The following is a 21,993-nucleotide window of genomic DNA, read 5'->3' on the forward strand; positions in this document are numbered from 1 at the left end:
TTGAGATTGAGTTTTGTCCTTCCCTAACACAAGCATTTACCAGAAATGACTCAAGTGAATTGTTGCTTATGTTTGCAGGTTAAGCAAGGTTAAGGCTGTTTTTAAGGCCTACTGGGTTTTGTTTGCTCAGGAGTTTTTGAATTCTGGTCTGCATTTTAATTTTGCTTTGACACAGGAGACAGTGAAATGGCACTGATGTGTTCCCTCTCCTGACACCTCAACCCCTGCACTGTGAGGTTGGAGCACTAACAACAGTGCACTGTGGGGAAAAGAAAGAGAGATCAGACTGTTACTGTGTCTATGTAGAAAGAAGTAGACATAAGAGACTCCATTTTGTTCCGTACTAAGAAAAATTCTTCTGCCTTGAGATGCTGTTAATCTGTAACCCTACCCCCAACCCTGTTCTCACAGAGACGTGTGCTGTGTTGACTCAAGGTTTAATGGATTTAGGGCTATGCAGGATGTGCTTTGTTAAACAAATGCTTGAAGGCAGTATGCTTGTTAAAAGTCATCACCACTCTCTAATCTCAAGTACCCAGGGACACAATACACTGCGGAAGGCCACAGGGACCTCTGCCCCAGAAAGCCAGGTATTATCCAAGGTTTCTCCCCATGTGATAGTCTGAAATATGGCCTCGTGGGAAGGGAAAGACCTGACCATCCCTCAGCCCGACACCCGTAAAGGGTCTGTGCTGAGGAGGATTAGTATAAGAGGAAGGAAGGCCTCTTGCAGTTGAGACAAGAGGAAGGCATCTGTCTCCTGCTCGTCCCTGGGCAATGGAATGTCTCGGTATAAAACCCGATTGTATGTTCCATCTACTGAGATAGGAGAAAATCGCCTTAGGGCTGGAGGTGAGACAAGCTGGCGGCAATACTGCTCTTTAATGCACCGAGACGTTTATGTATGTGCATATCAAAGCACAGCACCTTCTTCTTAAGCTTGTTTATGACACAGAGACATTTGTTCACATGTTTTCCTGCTGACACTCTCCCCACTATTATCCTATTGTCCTGCCACATCCCCCTCTCCGAGATGGTAGAGATAATGATCAATAAATACTGAGGGACTCAGAGACCGGTGCCGGCGCGGGTCCTCTGTATGCTGAGCACCGGTCCCCTGGACCCACTTTTCTTTCTCTATACTTTGTCTCTGTATCTCTTCTTTTCTCAGTCTCTCGTCCCACCTGACGAGAAACACCCACAGATGTGGAGAGGCAGGCCACCCCTTCACTGCACAAACCACACAGATATTCAGAGGCTCAAATGCAACCAAGGCTGTTGCGGGAAGTCAGGGACCCCAAACGGAGGGACCGGCTGAAGCCATGGCAGAAAAACATGGATTGTGAAGATTTTATGGACATTTATTAGTTCCCCAAATTAATACTTTTGTAATTTCTTATGCCTGTCTTTACTGCAATCTGTAAACATAAATCGTAAAGATTTCATGGACACTTATCACTTCCCCAATCAATATCCTTGTGATTTCCTATGCCTGTCTTTGCTTTAATCTCTTAATCCTGTCAGCCGAGAAGGATGTATATCGTCTCAGGACCCTGTAATAATTGTGTTAACTACACAAATTGTACAGCATGTGTGTTTGAGCAATATGAAATGTGGGCACCCTGAAAAAAGAACAGGATAACAGCAATTGTTCAGGGAATAAGAGAGAGAACCTTTAACTCTGACCGCCGGTGAGCCGGGCGGAACAGAGCCATATTTGTCTTCTTTCAAAAGCAAATGGGAGAAATATCACTGAATTCCTTTTCTCAGCATGGAACGTCCCTGAGAAACAGAATGCGCACCTAGGGGTAGGTCTCTGAACTGGCCTCCCCCGGGCGTACCTGTCTCTTATGGTCGAGATTGCAGAGGTGAAATAAACTCCAGTCTCCCATAGCGCTCCCAGGCTTGTTAGGAAGAGGAAATTCCCGCCTAATAAACTTTGGTCAGACCGGTTGATCTCAAAACCCTGTCTCCTGATAAGATGTTATCAATGACAATGGTGCCCAAAACTTCATTAGCAATTTTAATTTCACTTCGGTCCTGTGGTCCTGTGATCTCGCCCTGCCTCCACTTGCCTTGTGATATTCTATTACCCTGTTAAGTACTTGATGTCTGTCACCCACACCTATTCGTATCCTCCCTCCCCTTTTGAAACTCCCTAATAAAAACTTGCTGGTTTTTGTGGCTTGTGGGGCATCACAGATCCTACCAATGTGTGATGTCTCCCCCGGAGGCCCAGCTTTAAAATTTCTCTCTTTTGTACTCTGTCCTTTTATTTCTCAAGCCAGTCGACGCTTAGGCAAATAGAAAAGAACCTACGTGATTATTGGGGCAGGTCCCCCGATACAAGGCCAGCACAGTGCCAAGTATGTCCACCTCAGTGAGCTGCGGAGAGGTGACTGCACCCTTTATTGACTGACTACTAGGAAACTGTCAAGAGGCAGCCCACTGAGCATGGCCATCTTAAAGGAATTTCAGGTGTCCCTACAACAGAGAATATGCCTTGAGAAAGGGGGAAAAAATAGGCCACTTAGCTTGGGTAGACAAGGCTCATGACAAGTCCCTGCATCTCAGCTACTGACTTTAAAAGTTGTTTGGGGAAAAGAAAGAGAGATCAGACTGTTACTGTGTCTATGTAGAAAGAAGTAGACATAAGAAACTCCATTTTGTTCTGTACTAAGAGAAATTCTTCTGCCTTGAGATGCTGTTAATCTGTAACCTGAGCCCCAACCCTGTGCCCACAGAGACGTGCTGTGTTGATGAAGGGGTGGGTTGCCCCTCCTCACCTGTGGGTGTTTCTCGTAAGGTGGAACAAGAGTCTTGGAAAAGAAAAGACACAGAGACAAAGTATAGGGAAAGAAATTAGAGGACCCGGGGAACCAGCGTTCAGCATATGGAGGATCCCGCCAGCCTCTGAGTTCCCTTAGTATTTATTGATCATTCATGGGTGTTTCTCCGAGAGGGGGATGTGGCAGGGTCACAAGACAATAGTGGGGAGAGGGTCAGCAGACAAACACGTGAACAAAGGTCTTTGCATCATAGACAAAGTAAAGAATCAAGTGCTGTGCTTTAGATATGCATACACATAAACATCTCAATGCCTTACAGAGCAGTATTGCTGCCCGCATGTCCCACCTCCAGCCCTAAGGCGGTTTTTCCCTATCTCAGTAGATGGAACGTACAATCGGGTTTTATACCAAGACATTCCATTGCCCAGGGACAGGCAGGAGGCAGATGCCTTCCTCTTGTCTCAACTGCAAGAGGCATGCCTTCCTCTTATACTAATCCTCCTCAGCACAGACCCTTTACGGGTGTCGGGCTGGGGGACGGTCAGGTCTTTTCCTTCCCACGAGGCCATATTTCAGACTATCACATGGGGAGAAACCTTGGACAATACCTGGCTTTCCTAGGCAGAGGTCCCTGCGGCCTTCCGCAGTGTTTGTGTCCCTGGGTACTTGAGATTAGGGAGTGGTGATGACTCTTAAGGAGCATGCTGCCTTCAAGCATCTGTTTAACAAAGCACATCTTGCACCGCCCTTAATCCATTTAACCCTGAGTTGACACAGCACATGTTTCCGAGAGCATGGGGTTGGCGGTAAGGTCATAGATTAACAGAATCTCATGGCAGAAGAATTTTTCTTAGTACAGAACAAAATGGAGTCTCCTATGTCTACTTCTTTCTACACAGACACAGTAACAATCTGATCTCTCTTGCTTTTCCCCACAGTTGACTTAAGGTTTAATGGATTTAGGGCTGTGCAGGATGTGGTTTGTTAAAAAAGTGCTTGAAGGCAGTATGTTTGGTAAAAGTCATAGCCATTCTCTAATCTCGAGTACTCAGGGACTCAATGCACTGCAGAAGGCTGCAGGGACCTCTGCCCAGGAAAGCCAGGTATTGTCCAAGGTTTCTCCCCATGTGATAGCCTGAGATATGTCCTCATGGGAAGGGAAAGACCTGACTGTCCCCCAGCCCAACACCCGTAAAGGGTCTGTGCTGAGGAGGATTAGTGAAAGAGGGAGGCCTCTTTGCCGTTGAGATAAGAGGAAGGCACCTGTCTCCTGTTTGTCCCTGGGAATGGAATGTCTCGGTGTAAAACCCGAACGTTCGTTCTATTTACTGAGATAGGAGAAAACTGCCTTATGGCTGGAGGTGAGACATACTGGCGGCAATACTGCTCTTTACTGCACTAAAATTTTTGTGAAAAGTCAGACATAAATCTGGCCTATGTGCGCATCGAGGCACAGCACCTTTCCTTAAACTTATTTATCACAGAGATCTTTGCTCACTTGTTTTCCTGCTGACCCTCTCCCCACCATTACCCTATTGTCCTGCCACATCCCCCTCATCGAGATGGTAGAAATAGTGATCAATAAATACTGAGGGAACTCAGAGACCAGTGCCGGCGTGGGTCCTCCGTATGCTGAGCGCCGGTCCCCTGGGCCCACTGTTCTTTCTCTATACTTTGTCTCTGTGTCTTATTTCTTTTCTCAGTCTCTCATCCCACCTGACGAGAAACACCCACAGGTGTGGAGGGGCTGGCCCCCTTCAGTTGTGAGGATCAATATGTATACTCATATTAAAGATTGTTTTTTGCTTCAGGCTGTTTGGAAAACACCAAGCGTAGAAACTTGAAATTGTGTTCTATGAAAAAACTGGATACCAAAGCCACTATCAAGGTAGGAGGTGGGACTTGACTCAAGAGACCAGGCTCCAACACCAGACAAAATTAAGGACTAGCTAAAACAGCAACAGGGCAGAAGCAGCTTTTCATAAGACTTACCCACCAGTATGCCATGTCACGTTTACCATTTCCATGGTAACACCTGGGAGTTATTGCTGCTTTCCATGACAACAAGCTGATGACCTGAAAGTTACCACCTTTTTCTAGAAATTTATGCATAATCCACCCCTTACTTTGCATATAATTAAAAGTGGGTAGAAATATGACTGAAGGGCTGCCTCTGAGCTGCTACTCTGGGCATACTGCTCCACAAGGAGTAGTACCTCTGCTGCTGCTGTGCACTGCCACTTCAATAAAAGTTGCTATCAAAGGCTGGGTGCAGTGGTTCATGCCTGTAATCCCAACAATTTGGGAGGCTGAGGCAGGCGGATCACGAGGTCAGGAGTTTGAGACCAGCCTGGCCAATATGGTGAATCACCATCTCTACTAAAAATACAAAAATTAGACTGGAGACCATCATTCTCAGCAAAGTATCACAAGGATAGAAAACCAAACACCGCATGTTCTCACTCATAAGTGGGAGTTGAACAATGAGAACACACGGACACAGGGAGGGGAACATCACACATTGGGGCCTGTCGGGGGTGGGGGACTAGGGGAGGGATAGCATTGGGAGAAATACCTAATGTAAATGACGAGCTCATGGGTGCAGCAAACCAACATGGCACATGTATACCTATGTAACGAACCTGCACGTTATGAACGTGTGCCCTAGAACTTAAAGTATATTTTTAAAAAATACAAAAATTAGCTGGGCATGGTGGCGCGTGCCTGTAGTCCCAGCTACGCAGGAGGCTGAGGCAGGAGAATCACTTGAACCTGGGAGGCGGAGGTTGCAGTGAGCTGAGATCGCGCCACTGCACTCTAGCCTGGAAGACAGAGTAAGACTCCATCTCAAAAAAAAAAAAGTTGCTATCTAACATCACTGTGGGACCCCTGAATTCTTTTGAAATGTAAGATGAAGTCTTTTTGCAAAATGGAGTTAGTTATGTCAAGAGTGCTCTGTACATGTTGCGAACTCAAAACAGACAACTCCCCATTTTCTCTCTTTTTTTCCCCCCTGAGATGGGGAGTCTCACCTTGTTGCCTGGAGTGCAATGGGACGATCTTGGCTCACTGCAATCTCGTGACCCACTATGCTTGGCCTTAATATTTTCTACTATAGTTTATGCTAAATCTTTTTAGAGAAATCCTTCCCCACATCAAGATCATAAAAATATTATCTTATATTTCCTTCTAACACTTTTAGAGTTTTGCTGTTCAATTCAGGGTTCCAGGGGTTAGCAAACTGCTGCTCATGAGCCATATCCAGTCCACAGCCTGCTTTGCCCTTGAGCTAAGATTGGCTTTTAATACTTTTAAAGAGTAAAATAAATAGAATATACAACAGAGATCATATGTAGCCTGCAAAGCCTGAATACTTACTATCTGGTCTTGCACCAAAATAGTCTGCTGACTTTTATAGTCTAATACACGAAACATTGATTTGTGTAGGATATGAAGTGGCACCTGTAATCCCAGCTACTTGGGAGGCTGAGGCAGGAGAATTGCTTGAACCTGGGAGACAGAGGTTGCAGTGAGTGGAGACTGCACCACTGCACTCCAGCGTGGGCAACAAAGTGAGACTCCAACTCAAAGAAAAGAAAAAAAAATCCCAAAACTCCCCTTAAGATGCATATACCAGCTTACCTACAATATCTTTTTTTTTTTTTTTTTTTTTGAGACAGTCTTGCTGTCACCTAGGCTGGAGTGTAGTGGTGCGATGTCAGCTCACTGCAACCTCTGCCTCCTGGGTTCAAGTGATTTTCCTGCCTCAGCCTCCCAAGTAGCTGGGATTACAGGTGTGCATCACCACATCCTGCTAATTTTTGTATTTTTATTAAAGACAGGGTTTCACCATGTTGGCCAGGCTGGTCTCGAACTCCTGACCACAAGTGATCCACTCGCCTCGGCCTCCAAGAGTGCTGGGATTACAGGTGTGAGCCACTGCACCTGGCCTGTCTTTTGAAAATAGGTGGATGATCTAACTCTGTTTTAAAAGCCTGATTTTGGCTGCAACTTGTGTATATAAAAGACTTCTCAGCAATCTTGTGCCTTGGTTCCCCTGAAACAGGTACCTCACCTATATTTGGTAGTTGGTGATCTGGAGACAAATAGTATCCTGTGTGACTGAAAAAGATCCCTGGAATCTGTGCCTGTGTGTCTCAGAACATCATCATATTTACATGTATTTTATTTCATTGGATTTTATTTTTCATGCTGTACTGTAGCCTTTGTCTTTCTTGGAGTCTTAGGTAAGTATAACTTGTGGAGTCATGTGAGACTGTTCAACATCTTACCCTGAGTAACTGCTATAATTGCAGTCACCTATTTTAGGGAAAAACATTGTACTTGAAAAGGAAACATATTTTTGTAAAATTAATATCAAGTTCAGTGTATTTTATAATTTATTCTCAATTTAAGAAAACCGTTTAGGGGACTTTGCTGCTACATTCTAGAGAGGGATTAATAAAAACATGTCTCACATTTGGCTTATGTTGTTTCAAAGGGAAACACATCTTGCACACCTTGTGGCTATGAAGGAAAGAGAGGCTTATTTTATTTGACTATAGGATCAAGCCACATTATCTATTCATGCAATAAAACCAGGACTGCAAAAATTATTTAATTTCCATCTCTCTGATATCAGGGACTATCTCTCAAACTATTTAGAATTCAGAAGCGGCATAAAACCTGTGAAGACTCATCTTCCTCAATCCCCAAGTATTTCGTTGGTTTACAAGAAACAAAACCCTGTATAAAGATGACGGCTTCTACTATATTTCATCCAATCTGAGATACCTTTGGTTGTATGGCACACCACACTTTTACACACCAAGTTCTCCATTTAAATATGTTAAGCCACATATATAAATAAGTATGCCACACTTAAATTTTAGCAGTGGTAATATGTTGGAAAAATGTCTATCTTAGAATTGATGAGATAAAGTTTTACCCAAGAGTGGCACAACATCTTCCAGACCCATTTACAAATACTAGCAAACACTACAGAGATAAAGATAAACAGTATTGTATTGAGTTTTTTACTGAAACAATGAACCACAGCAGTTCTGTGGGGAGTCGAAAGCCTGAGGGTCGTGACCAATTCAGCATTCCACTGCAGGCTATATGATCAAACAGCAAACTGTTTATCATGAATGCAGAATGTGGGCAAACTCGTATCTGCACCTGCCACCAGAAAGTATGCTGAGGGCAATCACTGCCTGGCACCATGCTCCTTGAGGTTATCTACTGGGACATCTGGAGCCTACTGTTCAAAGAATGCAGTCATGCAGGCCTGCACTAAATCAAGCAGCTGACCGACAACCACCCCCGCTCCTTGTTTTCTTTACTCAATAAATATGAAGTGCTATAGAAGCTCAGGGGCCTTGTTCACTAGAAGCAAGAAGCCCCCGACCCCTTCTTCCAAACATATTCTTTTGTGTTTGTCTTTATTCCCACATTCATCCTCCTTTGTTCAGTCCAGTAGGGTCCGTGGCACAGATCAATTATAAGTTACGTAGCATTATACAAAGATTCAATGCAGATATTCTATGGGAAGTCTTTATGCACATTTAATCATACATACTACAAATTCACAATTGTGATGTTAACACATGCAGTTCCCAAATATGAGCAATCATTTTTACAATAAAAATAGGCAAAAACACTTAAATATTTGGTATTGTTCTTATATTTTTTGCTTTGTTTTCTGACAAGCATATTTATTTACATATTTAATACAATACTTTCTATAATGCTGATTATATAACAAGAGCAGAAAAAAAATACAGATGAAAGCATGATTTCCCAGATTCATTAACATACAAAATTACAAATTTCTTTTTTCTTTTCCTTATTTATTTATTTATTTTTTTTTTTTAGACAGGCTGTCACCCAGGCTGGCAAAATCTTGGCTCACTGAAACCTCCACCTCTTGGCTCAAGTAATTCTCTGCCTCAGCCTCCTGAGTAGCACTATCTCCAGCTAATTTTTGTATTTTTTTGTAGAGATGGAACCCTATGTTGAAAACACTGGTCTCGAACTCCTAAGCTCAAACGATCCTTCCAATTTGGCCTCCCAAAGTGCTGAGATTACAGGTGTGAGCCACTGCACCTCACCTAAAGTACAGAATTTCTTCCTTAGTGTCAATTATCTGAAACTGATGTAACTGCATATTATGCCAACAACATCCCCATAATCAGTAATACATAGATGTTCCTTCCTGTGTGTTCCCTCTGGCTTATATTCAATTGACATTTATTGAAACAGGTATTACCTCCTGACTGGCATCATGCCCAGCACTATTCTCTGATAAGAAAGGATGTGTAAGCTTGAAATTAAGGTTTGTTCACATTTGCTGCAGCCTTGAGGTTTCACTCTTACATTAACCTTGTGGTATAATGAGCTAGTCCTTCTCACTGCCAACTTTCAGATATTCACTTCATTTATGATTTCTCTCCTTTGTGTGTTTTCTGATGTAGAATGAGGCTGAATTTGCGGAAGAAGGTTTTCCAACACTCAGTGCATTCGTAAGGTTTCTCACCTATATGCGTTCTTTGATGTATAATAAGATGTGACTTCTGGGCAAAAGATTTCTGACATTTGCTGCATTCGTGGAGTTTCTCTCCTGTATGTGTTTTCTGATGTCAAACCAAGCTAAACTTGACGGGGAAAGTTTTCCCACATTCACTGCATCCATAGGATTTCTCTCCTGTATGGATTCTCTGATGAGTAGTGAGACTAAACTTACGAGAGAAAGTCTTCCCGCACTCAAGGCATTCGTAAGGCTTCTCTCCTGAGTGAATTCTCTGATGGATCAGGAGATAGGACTTCCGGCTGAAGGCTTTGTGACATTCTCCACATTCCTAAGGTTTCTCTCCAGTGTGAGACCGCTGATGAATATTCAGGTGTGACTTTTGGCTGAAAGTCTTCTGACACTGACTGCATTCATAGGGTTTTTCCCCTGTATGAGTTCTTTGGTGTAGGATGAGACTAAACTTGATGGAGAACATTTTCCCACATTCGTTGCATCCATAGGGTTTCTCTCCCATATGAGTTCTCCAGTGAGTATTGAGGAATGACTTTACACTAAAGCCTTTTCCACATTCACTGCAGTGATACGGTTTCTCTCCTGTGTGAGTTCTCTGATGTCTACTGAGCTCAGATCTCTGGATGAAGGCTTTCCCACATTCATTACACCCATGCGATTTTTCCCCGGTATGGATTTTTTGATGTAAAATGAGGTTAAACTTAAGGGGGAATGTTTTCCCACACTCATCACAACCATAGGGTTTCTCTTCTGTGTGAGCTCTCTGATGGATCATGAGCTGTGACTTATTGCTGAAGCTTTTCTGACATTTGCTGCATCCATAGGGTTTCTCTCCAGTATGAGTTCTTTGATGGAAAGTGAGTTTTGACTTATCACTAAAACCTTTTTGACATGTATGACACTCAAAGCATTTCTCTCCTGTGTGAGTTCGTTGATGTTTATTAAGGCATGACTTATCAGTAAAAGCTTTCCCACATTTATTGCACTCATAAGGTTTCTCTTCTGTATGGGTTCTCTCGTGTAAAATGAGACAGGACTTCCATCTGAAGGCTGTCTGACATCTACTGCATCCATAGGGCTTCTCTCCTCTTTGTGTTCTTTGATGCTTAAAGAGGTCCAACTTCTGGGAAAAGGCTTTCCCACAGTCACTGCAGTCATACTGTTTCTCTCGTTTTTGAGTTTTCCAGTGTTTTATGAGCTGTGACTTATGACTGAAAGCCTTTACACGTTCATTATATTCATTGTATTTCTCTTCAGCATGAATTTTCTCATGCTTAGGATAAAGAAAAACTTTGTCATATCCATTACATTCACCTTCATTTCTTGCATAGCTTCTGTTTTGAATAAAGTACTCTAGATTAGGATTCAGGTGTTTCCCAAGTACAAAAGGGGTATGAAGGTTTGAGCTCAGATGAGATGTTATGTTGCCAAATATATGATATTTGTGGTGTCTGTCCATAGTTTCAAGGCTGCTTTGGTTTTCTCGGTGCCATTCTGTGTGATCATTGACTTGCCAGGCATCTTCTAGAAAGGAGACCAATTAATCCACTGTGATCATGTAATAAAAGGAGTAGAAGCTCACAGCAAGAGCCAAGGAGAGAAGAGGAAGTGAAACTGTGGGTAGAGAATGAAAGTCTGAGATATTTATAAATGGAAGAAGAAAAAACAGAAGAAACTATGAGAGGTATGAAACACATACAAAATGAAGATAAGGGAGGAAAATTTAGGAATACTTGAAAATAGGGCTATGACTATGAATTAGGGGGATGAAGACAGGGAAAAGCAAGTAAACTAAAGATGCCAGGGAGAAAGATTAACCAGGAAAGCAAGTTCTGAGATGAGCCAGAGAGGGATTTGATCAGAGTACCTAAAAGAAGAACATGGATTCTTTTAAAAGCCAAGCAAAAGAGTTCTAATATGGAGCAACTAAAAAGTGGAGGCAGTATTAAGGTATGTGAGGAGCTTATGTCAGCTGTTCTTAGTCACATTCACAACTTTAAGAACTTCAAAAACATTTCTCCAAACAGCATTTCAGAGATGCCCCCCTACTTCTGTTCAACTGGGATATTACTTTAAGTTCTCCTATAGGACTGGTTTTTCACTTACCTGGACAAACCTGACTCTGGATTTCTTCCTCTAGTATCCATGGTTTTCCTTGCTCCAACCAGAATAATGTGTCTGCTTTGGTAACTTGATACCCTAGAAAAGTATCAAGGAAAATTATAAAGGACACATGAATGCAAATACTAGGGCTACAAGACTTCTGAAAAATGATGAAGATTACTTTTTTTTTTTTTTTTGAGATGGAGTCTCACTCTGTCACCAGGCTGGAGTGAAGTGGTGTGATCTTAGCTCACTGCAACCTCTACCTCCCGGGTTCAAGTGATTCTCCTGCCTCAGCCTCCCAAGTAGCTGGGACTACAGGTGTGCGCCACCACACCCAGCTAATATTTGTATTTTTAGTACAGACGGGGTTTCACCATGTTGGCCAGGATGGTCTCAATCTCTTAACCTCATGATCCACCCCTCTTGGCCTCCCAAAGTGCTGGGATTATAGGCATGAGCCACCATGCCTGGCCGAAGATTACATTTAAGGGGTTAAATAATTTGCATCTGGGCCAAGTAAAGGCCTTAACGTCCATTGGAAATGAGAGAAAAACACTCTGTTAGAGGCCAGAAAAGTACTAAAAATCTATGATGTATTAAACTGAAGTCTAAAAAAAGTAAAGTATTTGTGAGGCCCCACGCTTTTTAATTACTCAGAAAGGAAGGGCAATTGATTGCCTACACTACCCAGGAAAACTGTGCTTACCCAGTGATACCAGGTTGCTATAATTTTCCAACATCACGTCTTGGTACAGATTCTTCTGAACAGGGTCCAGTAGCTGCCATTCTTCCCAGGTGAAACCCACAGCTACATCCTTGAATGACAGTGAGCCCTGTAATAGAACATTCCTACTCAATTCTAAAGGATTACCATTGTGTAATGCTATGAACATAAATGATAATTTCTTATAATACATTTTCCCAGAGTAAGTTATTTGGCTGCCTTCCATGTAACTAGTTTTGCCTTATAATATATAGGAAAAATGTTTTAGTTAAAATATCCTATTTCGGTACTTCCATTCATTCACTGATTCACATATTTAATTATTCATTCACAAAAGAGAAACAGAACCTCCTTACATCCTTTAATAAAATATTTAATCTGCAACAGCAGTCCCCAACTTTTTCGGCACCAGGGACTCGTTTTGTGGAAGACAATTTTTCCACATACTGGGGCAAGGGGATGGTTTTGGAATGATTCAAGTGCATTACATTAATTGTGTACTTTATTTCTATTATTATTACATTGTAATATATAATGAAATAATTATACAACTCACCATAATGTAGAATCAGTGGTAGTCCTGAGCTTGTTTTCCTGAAACTAGATGGTTCCAGCTGGGGGTGATGGGAGACAGTGACAGATCATCAGACATCAGAGTCTCATAAGGAGTGTGCAACCTAGATCCCTCGCATGTGCAGTTCATAACAGGATTTTCACTCCTAGAAGAATCTAATGCTGCCTCTCATCTGACAGGAAGGGGAGCTCAGGCAGTTATGTGTATGATAGGGAGTGGCTGTAAATACAGATAAAGCTTGCTCACTGACCTGGTCCACTTCCTAACAGGCCACAGACCAGTGGCAGGGGTTGGGAAGCCCTGTTCTAGAGAATCATTGAGCCTGAGGGTGGGCAAGGGACACTCAACTAAAATTCACTCAAATTCACATTTAGATATGTCAATGCTGATACAGGAAACCATAAGAATACACAAAAATGTTTCAAGATTGATTATTTTAAAGATGGTGAAAAAGGATTAAGAGGGAACTTTCAGGTTTTGCACTATAAAATTCTATATTGTTTGAAAGTTTGACACTGCAAATTTTTTTTTAATTCATTCAAGTTGGAGAAGTATTATAATGATGATGATTTTGTTTAGAGACAGGGTATTGCTCTGTTACCCAGGCTGGAAGGCAGTGGCATGATCACAGCTCACTGCAGCCTTGACCTCCTAGGCTCAAGCAATCCTCCCACCTCAGCCTCCTGAGTAGCTGGAACTACAGGTGTGTGCCACCGTGCTCAGCTAACTTTTGTATTTTTTTGTAGAGACAGGGTCTTACTATGTTGCCCAGGCTGGTCTCAAATTCCTGGGCTCAAGTGATCTTCCCACCTCAGCCTCCTAAAGTGCTGGGATTACAAGTGTGAGCCACCATCGCCCAGCTCACATTGTGAATATTTTAAGCTTCATTTATATAACTGGAATTTTAAAAAAATAAGTAGATAAGTATTGGCTTTGAACAGAGAGCTAACACTGCATTCTTGGGTGTGAAGAGATTATGAAGGGAAACTCTAAGACTCTGTCAACATAACTTGGAACTGTTTACTAATCAATGTAAATAGGAGTTTCTCTACCTCAGCACTACAGGTTGAGCATCCCTGCTTCAAAATTCTGAAACCTATAATGCTCCAAAATCTGAAATTCTTTTTAGGGCTGAGGTGATGCACAAAGGTCATGCTTGAAGGAAATGCTTACCAGGACATTTCAAATGTTGGATTTTCAGATTAGGGATGCTCAACTAGTAAGTATAAGTAAGTAAGTAAGCAAGCATTCTGAAAAAAAAAAAAATCTAAAATCTGAAACACTTCCAGTCCCAAGCATTTCTGATAGGGGATGCTCAATCTGCATTTGTTGGAGGCCGAGAAAATGGGGGTTGTGACCAACCCAGTATACCACTGGAGGCTATATGAGCAAACAGAAAACTGTTCTCATGAAAGCAGGATGTTGGAAAACTGACAAATTGCATCTGCCACCAGAAGGAGTGCCAAGAGCAGTCACACCCCAGGCAGAGTGTTCCTTGTGGTTTGTAGGGAGCCAAAGGCCCATGGGACATGATCAGCTCAGCATTCCACTGGAAGCTACATGATCAAACAGCAAACTGTTTATCACAAATGCAGGATATGGGCAAACTCACGACTGTGCCTGCTGACAGAAAGTTTGCTGGCGGCTATCATTCCCTGGCGCTGAGGTTATCTGCTGGGACATCTAGAGCCTGTTGTTTGAGGAATGCAATCTTGCAAGCCTACTCTGGACCAACCAACTGACCCCTTCTTCCACACCCCTTCTCACTATCCCTTTTGCCTAATAAATACAAAGGGCTGTGTAAAGCTCAGAGCCTTTGTCCACTAGAGGCAAGGTGCTCCTTGACCCCTTCTTCCAAATATACTCTTTTGTCTCGTCTTTTATTCCCGCATTTGCCCCACTTTGTTCAGCCCACCAGGGATTGTGGCAGGTTACATAGTGGCCCCCCCCAAACAGTGACAGAATCGAGTGCTCCACAGTGGTTATCTATAGGAACATCTGAAGCCTGTTGTATAAAGAAAGTAATTATGTGTACCTCTAATGAATCAAAGCAGCTGACCAACCGTTACCTCTCTCTCCCTATTGATTCTACCTAATACATATGAAGGGCTGTAGAAGCTGAGGGCTGTCTTTGCTCACTAGAAGCAAGGAGTCCCCTGACCCCTTCTTTTAAAATGTATCTTTTTGTCTTTGTCTTCACTTCTGCATTTGTCCCATTTCGTTCAATCCCATAGGAACAGACTGTAACAGGCATTGACATTTTGGTTTGGAGAATTCTTTATTTTGGGGCACTGTAGTGTCATTGTAGGATGCTTAGCAGCATTCTTAGCCTCTATCCACTAGCTCCAATTAGCACACCCTCCTTTCCCAGGTGTGACAATCAAAAATTTCTCCAGACATTGCCAAATGTCACCTGGGGTCAAAAAATGAAAACCACTGATAAAAAAAAAAGCAGAATATTGAGGACTCTTTGTGGAAGACCATATGATGGTCATAGAATCCATCCATCTTAAAAATCTCTACATTTTATCCCTGAATAAAAACAGACCCCCAGGAGGCTGTGGACTTTGGCTACACTGTTCTGGGTCCCTGAAGCACTCTGATCACTGAGTTTGGTTTTGGTATTACACCACTGGCTTATCTGTGGGGGCACTAACTTCTATATGATCTATATCATGACCCATCAAAGAAATTTCTTCTTAAGTAACATGAAATATTCACTTTTCTAGAGGAGCTTTCTCCTCAGGGAAAAGGAAACGATTTGTTATTGTGTCCATGTGGTAGACTGCATTTCCCAAAGATGACCACAATAATATCTCACATTCCAAAGAAAACCTTCTGCTAAATCTTGCCACTCCCACACGAAGAGATGGAGCCTATTCCCTTCCCCCTTGAACCTAGCTAGTCTTGGTGATTTGCTTGTACCTGCAGAATACAACAGAGGTGACACAACATAACTTCCGAGGCTAAGGCAGAAAAGCATGGGGGAAAGAATGAGAGATCAGACTATTACTGCATCTATGTAGAAAAAGGAAGACAAAAGAAACTCCATTTTGATCTGTACTAAGAGAAATTATTCTGCCTTGAGATGCTGTTAATCTGTAACCCTAGCCCCAACCCTATGCTTGCAGAAACATGTATTGTATTGACTCAAGGTTTAATGGACTTAGGGCTGTGCAGGATGTGCCTTGGTAAAAATGTGTTTGCAGGCAGTATGCTTGGTAAAAGTCATGGCCATTCTCCAGTCTCGAGTACCCAGGGACACAATGCACTGCAGAAAGCCACAGGGATCTCTGCCCAAGAAAGCCTGTGTATTGTCCAAGGTTTCTCTCCACTGAGACAGCCTGAGATATGGCCTCATGGAAAGAGAAAGACCAGACTGTCCCCCAGCCTGACACCCATAAAGGGTCTGTGCTGAGGAGGATTAGTGAAAGAGGAAGACCTCTTTGCAGTTGAGATAAGAGGAAGGTATCTCTCTCCTGCTCATCCCTGGGAATGGAATGTGTCAGTGTAAAACCCGATCGTACATTCTATTTACTGAGATAGGAGAAAACTGCCTTATGGCTGGAGGTGAGACATGGTGGGGGCAATACTGTCTTTACTTCACTGAGATGTTTGTGTAAAGTCAAAGATAAATCTGGCCTATGTGCATATCAAGGCACAGCACCTTTCCTTAAACTTATTTATAACACAGAGTCCTTTGCTCACGTTTTCCTGCTGACCCTCTTCCCACCATTACCCTATAGTCCTCCCACATCCCCCTCACCGAGATAGTAGAGATAGTAATCAATAAATACTGAGGGAACTCAGAGACCAGTGTTGGTGCGGGTCCTCCGTATGTTGAGTGCCGGTTCCCTGGGCCCACTTTTCTTCCTCGATAGTTTGTCTCTGTGTCTTATTTCTTTTCTCAGTCTCTCGTCTCCACCTTGTGAGAAATACCCACAGGTGTGGAGGGGCAGGCCTCCTTCATCTGGCACCCAACATGGGGCACGAACCCATGACCCTGAGATTAAGAGTCTCATGCTCTACCGACTGAGCTAGCTGCAGAATGCAACAGAGGTGACACAACATAACTTCTGAGGCTAAGGCAGAAAAGGCCCTGTGGCCGCATCTTGGCTGTCTCAGAGCCAGCATCATGCTGTGAGAAGCCCATCCATGTCACATGTGGAGGTCACACACAGGTGCTCTGGCTGGCAGCCTCCTTGAGCCTAGTTTTCAAGTAATCCCAGCCTGGCACACAGATACAGAGAGGAAGAAGCCTTCAGATGATTCCAGTCCCCAACCTTCTGAGTCTTCCAGTTGAGATTCAAGACATCATGGTGTGAAGACAAGCTGTGCAGTAAAGGATAAACAGAGCGAGTCTGGGTTACCCAGAAACTGAACATTCCAAAGAAAGGCTCAGCCCTTCCCTATACCTGGCAGGTAACTTCTAAACCAAGCTTGTCCAACCTGCGGACCATGGGGTGCACATGGCCCAGGAGGGCTTTGTTTTGTTGTTGTTGGTGGTGGTGCACACAGCCCAGGAGGGCTTTGTTTTGTTGTTGTTGTTGTTGTTTTTGTTGTTTGAGATGGAGTTTCACTCTGTTGCCCAGGCTGGAGTGCAGGGGCACAATCTCAGCTCACTGCAACCTCCAACTCTCAAGTTCAAGCGATTCTCCCACATTCGAGCAATTCTCCTACTTCAGCCTCCCAAGTAGCTGAGATTACAGGCATGTGCCACCATGCCCAGATAGTTTTTTGTATTTTTAGTAGAGACGGGGTTTCACCATATTGGCAAGCCTGGTCTGGAACTACTGACCTCAAGTGATCTGCCCACTTCAGCCTCCCAAAGTGCTGGGATTACAGGCATAAGCCACTGTGCCTGGCCTCCAGGAGGGCTTTGAATGCAAAACAAATTTGTAAACTTTCTTAAAACATTATGAGATTTTTTGAGTTTTTTTTCTTTTTTCTTTAAGCTCATCAGCTATTGTTAGTGTTAGTATATTTTATGTGTGGCCCAAGACAATTCTTCTTCCAGTGTGGCCCAGGGAAGCCAAAAGACTGCACACTCCTACTCTAAGCCGTTGGAATATATTGTCCGATGAGGGTCTTTGTTTACTGGGAGCCTTGGGTCACACAAGATCGTCTATGCTAACAATGTATGATGGAAGCCTTGGGCCACACTGTAGTTATGGTGGCCTCTGAAAGGGCTGAAGAATAAGGTCAGCCACTCATGTGCTCAGCCTCACCCATATAACTAAAGCCAAATAAAAACCCTGGACACCCAGGCTCAAGTGGGCTTCCTGTACTGGCAATACATCATGCCTGTCGTCACACATCATGGCTAGGACAATCAAACATTGTCCATATGACTCCACAGAGAGAGGAAAACTCAAAGCTTCTGCACAGCATCTCCCAAACCCTGCCCTACACACCTTTCTCTGTTTCTGATTTTAACTGTATCCAGTCTATGTAATAAAATAAAATCATGAATATGACAGTTTTGCTGAGCTCTGTGTTATTCTAACAAATTATTGAACCTGAGGAACCCCAGATCTTGCGATCCCCAGAACATACAAGCCATCACCATGTCTCACTTCCTGACTCAGTGAATCCATGCAGATCATAAAAGTAAATTCACATCTCTAGGTCTTGGGCTGGCTTGCTATATAGCAACAGATTACTTGGAATAGGGAAACAGTCATAACAACATTTTAGTCCATGATGGGTTGCACACACAATGGTGGTCCCTTAAGATTATAATGGAGCTGCCAACAAACATATGAAAAAAAGCTTATCATCACTGGTCATTAGAGAAATGCAAATCAAAACCACAATGAGATACCATCTCATGCCAGTTAGAATGGCAATCATCAAAAAGTCAGGAAACAACAGATGCTGGAGAGGATGTGGAGAAATAGGAGCACTTTAACACTGTTGGTGGGAGTGTAAATTAGTTCAACCATGTGGAAGACAGTGTAGCAATTCCTCAAGGATCTAGAACTAGAAATACCATTTGACCCAGCAATCCCATTACTGGGTATATACCCAAAGGATTACGAATCATTCTACTATAAAGACTCATGCACACATATGTTTATTGCAGCACTGTTCACAATAGCAAAGACTTGGAACCAACCCAAATGCCCATCAATGATAGACTGGATAAAGAAAATGTGGCACATATACACCATGGAATACTATGCAGCCATAAAAAAGGATGAGTTCATGTCCTTTGCAGGGACATGGATGAAGCTGGAAACCATCACTCTCAGCAAACTAACACAGGAACAGAAAACCAAACAGCACATGTTCTTACTCATAAGTGGCAGTTGAACAGTGAGAACATATGGACAAAGGGAGGGGAACATCACACACCGGGGCCTGTTGGGGGTTGTGGGGCTAGGGAAGGGATAGCATTAGGAGAAATACCTAATGTTGGTGATGGGTTGATGGGTGCAGCAAAACACCATGGCACATGTATACCTATGTAACAAAACTGCACGTTCTGCACATGTACCCCAGAACTTAAAGTATATATTAAAAAAAAAGATTATAATGGAGCTGAAAAATTCCTGCCATCTAGAGACGTGGTAGCCATCTCAAGGTAGTAGCATGTGTTACTCAGTTGTCAGTGATGATGCTGGTGTAGACAAACCTACTGCTCTTCCAGTCATATAAAATACAACACATAAAATATGGATAGTATGTAATTCTTGTTAATGATATACATGACTATGTTACCAGTGTAGGGGAAAGAAAGATAGATCAGACTGCTACTGTGTCTATGTAGAAAGAAGTAGACATAAGAAACTCCATTTTGTTCTGTACTAAGAAAAATTCTTCTGCCTTGAGATGCTGTTAATCTGTAACCCTAGCCCCAACCCTGTGCTCACAGAAACATGTGCTGTGTCGACTCATGTCCAAGGTCTAATGGATTTAGGGCTGTGCAGGCTGTGCTTTGTTAAAAAGTGTTTGCAGGCAGTATGCTTGGTAAAAGTCATCACCATTCTCCAGTCTCGAGTACCCAGGGACACAATGCATTGCAGAAGGCCACAAGGACCTCTGCCCAAGAAAGCCTGGGTATTGTCCAAAGTTTCTCCCTGCTGAGACAGCCTGAGATATGGACTCATGGGAAGGGAAAGACCTGACTATCCCCCAACACAACACCCATAAAGAGTCTGTGCCTAGGAAGATTAGTAAAAGAGGAAGGCCTCTTTGCAGTTAAGATAAGAAGAGGGCATCTGTCTCCTGCTCATCCCTGGGAATGGAATGTCTCAGTTTAAAACCCAATTGTACATTCTATTTACTGAGATAGGAGAAAACTGCCTTATGGCTGGAGGTGAGACATGCTGGCAGCAATACTGCTCTATACTACACTGAGATGCTTGTGTAAAGTCAAACATAAATCTGGCCTACGTGCACATCAAGGCACAGCACCTTTCCTTATTTATGACACAGAGAACTTTGTTCACATATTTTCCTGCTGACCCTCTCCCCACCATTACCCTATAGTCCTGCCACATCCCCCTCACCGAGATGGTAGAGATAGTGATCAATGAATACTGAGGAAACTCAGAGACCAGTGCTGGCAGGAGTCCTTCGTATGCTGAGTGCTGGTCCCCTGGGCCCACTGTTCTTTCTCTATACTTTGTCAGTGTGTCTTATTTCTTTTCTCAGTCTCTCATCCCACCAGATGAGAAATACCCACAGGTGTGGAGAGGCTGGCCCCCTTCATAAGGTTGTTGAGATTTATCTATGTTGGTGCATGCATCTATGATTTGTTTTTTATTATTGTTCAGTAGTATTCCAGGGTATGATTACACTGCAATTTGCTTATACATTCATGTACTGATGGACACTTGGACTGTTTCCTGTTCAGGGTATTATGCATAAAGGTGCTAAGAACATTCTTGTGAGTCTTTGTGAGGACATATCATTTCATTACTGTTGTATAAGTATCTAGGAGTGGAATTCCTGAGTCATAAGATTCTTGCTTTTATTTTGCAATTCTCCTAAGGAGTCATATAGTTCTGTAAAGCTTTTCACTCTTCACAGATTTGATATTTTAAGTAACACGGTATGTTTCTGAAATGGAGTTTGCATTTTGGGGCATTTTCTATAGATGTATCATGAAGGACACGTGAAAACTCTGTTATAAATATAAACACTCCACTGCATGCAGGAATTTCCTTCTCATTCTTCCAATGGAATTGTCTTAATTTAGGTTGGATCAGAATTAGAATTTACGTTATGATGACTATGTAAATAATATTTATAGGTCAGTCAGGTAGTATCCTATGATTACTTTTCTTGCACAACTTTTTTTTTTCTTTTTTCTTTTTTTCCTCATGAAGGGGTTGCCAAGGCTGTGTAGTGCAGTGGCTATTGATAGGTGCGATCATAGCTCACTGCAGCCTGGAACTCCTGGGCTCAAGCGATCTTCCTGCCTTGGTCTCCCCAGTAGCTGGGACTACACGTGTGCGCCATCGCGCCCGGGCTTGCACAACTTTTCATTCTCCCAGAGTCGCCTTATTTATTCCTTCCAGAATTTTAGGCACTTGGTTCTCCGAAAGCCCCGACGTTAAGATTGACTCCACCTACAGCAGAGGGAAGGCCCTTCTTCTCTCTTAAGGAAAATTCCCGCCTCCCGCATTGGATTCCTTTTCCGGTTGGCTGGTGGCTGCTCTCTTTACCTGCACTGGGCGGTGACCGTGTCCCTCAAATGTAAATGAGGTTCCAGGGGTCGCTGTTTTTTCACTTTCCGTTGACGGGGTGAACAATATCCTCGTACCTCGATTGCCTCTCCACACCCTTTTGGTCCTCAAAAATCTTCCTCTTGTCCTCCACATGTAGCTAGATGCGTTTTCGCGGTATATGACTCAGGGTGCGATTGCTCTTTTTCCTCTGTGGAGAAAGCGTTTTCACTTGTACGGACACCTAAGTGTTAAGATGGCCGCGCCCATTGTGTCATTCCCGTCATTCTTTGTGCAAAGCGGATGACTTTTCTCCCCAGCCCGCTAAGGTGCACGTAGCCATACCATGTTTGTCTTGGCTAAGCTCGACCCTCTGAAAATAAATGAAACTTGGGCGCAGGATTTAGGTGCCAAAATATGGAGTTCTTCACCGTCCCGCGCTATCCCTGAATACTTGGGCAGAAAAGGTCCACTTTACCTTCCGTACGTGCAGGATTCAAAGATGGCTGCCTCCAGTATCCGTGACGAGAGGACGCGAACTTACTACCTCCCAGTCGTCCGTGCTCCGTACACCTGCAACT

At 43.1% G+C, this 21,993-nt stretch overlaps 1 pseudogene, besides 6 other annotated features; it reads right to left on the reverse strand.

Moving 5' to 3' along the window:
* Positions 228-852: an enhancer, noted in NCBI's record as "OCT4-NANOG-H3K27ac hESC enhancer chr19:52408912-52409536 (GRCh37/hg19 assembly coordinates)". NCBI's record gives its function as "activates a minimal SCP1, AML or CMV promoter by ChIP-STARR-seq in primed H9 embryonic stem cells {active_cell/tissue: H9 hESC(primed)}" and the evidence as "EXISTENCE:reporter gene assay evidence [ECO:0000049][PMID:30033119]".
* Positions 1,736-2,411: an enhancer, noted in NCBI's record as "OCT4-NANOG-H3K27ac hESC enhancer chr19:52410420-52411095 (GRCh37/hg19 assembly coordinates)". NCBI's record gives its function as "activates a minimal SCP1, AML or CMV promoter by ChIP-STARR-seq in naive H9 embryonic stem cells {active_cell/tissue: H9 hESC(naive)}" and the evidence as "EXISTENCE:reporter gene assay evidence [ECO:0000049][PMID:30033119]".
* Positions 2,412-3,086: an enhancer, noted in NCBI's record as "NANOG-H3K27ac hESC enhancer chr19:52411096-52411770 (GRCh37/hg19 assembly coordinates)". NCBI's record gives its function as "activates a minimal SCP1, AML or CMV promoter by ChIP-STARR-seq in primed H9 embryonic stem cells {active_cell/tissue: H9 hESC(primed)}" and the evidence as "EXISTENCE:reporter gene assay evidence [ECO:0000049][PMID:30033119]".
* LOC100419707 (zinc finger protein 41 pseudogene) lies at positions 9,236-10,645 on the reverse strand (annotated as a pseudogene).
* Positions 21,061-21,824: an enhancer, noted in NCBI's record as "NANOG-H3K27ac-H3K4me1 hESC enhancer chr19:52429745-52430508 (GRCh37/hg19 assembly coordinates)". NCBI's record gives its function as "activates a minimal SCP1, AML or CMV promoter by ChIP-STARR-seq in naive H9 embryonic stem cells {active_cell/tissue: H9 hESC(naive)}" and the evidence as "EXISTENCE:reporter gene assay evidence [ECO:0000049][PMID:30033119]".
* Positions 21,061-21,979: a biological region, named in NCBI's record as "NANOG-H3K27ac-H3K4me1 hESC enhancer GRCh37_chr19:52429745-52430508".
* Positions 21,680-21,979: an enhancer, noted in NCBI's record as "active region_15030". NCBI's record gives its function as "activates an Ori minimal core promoter by ATAC-STARR-seq in GM12878 lymphoblastoid cells {active_cell/tissue: GM12878}" and the evidence as "EXISTENCE:reporter gene assay evidence [ECO:0000049][PMID:35858748]".

This window comes from Homo sapiens, chromosome 19, assembly GCF_000001405.40.
Source record: "Homo sapiens chromosome 19, GRCh38.p14 Primary Assembly".
Lineage (NCBI taxonomy): Eukaryota > Metazoa > Chordata > Mammalia > Primates > Hominidae > Homo > Homo sapiens.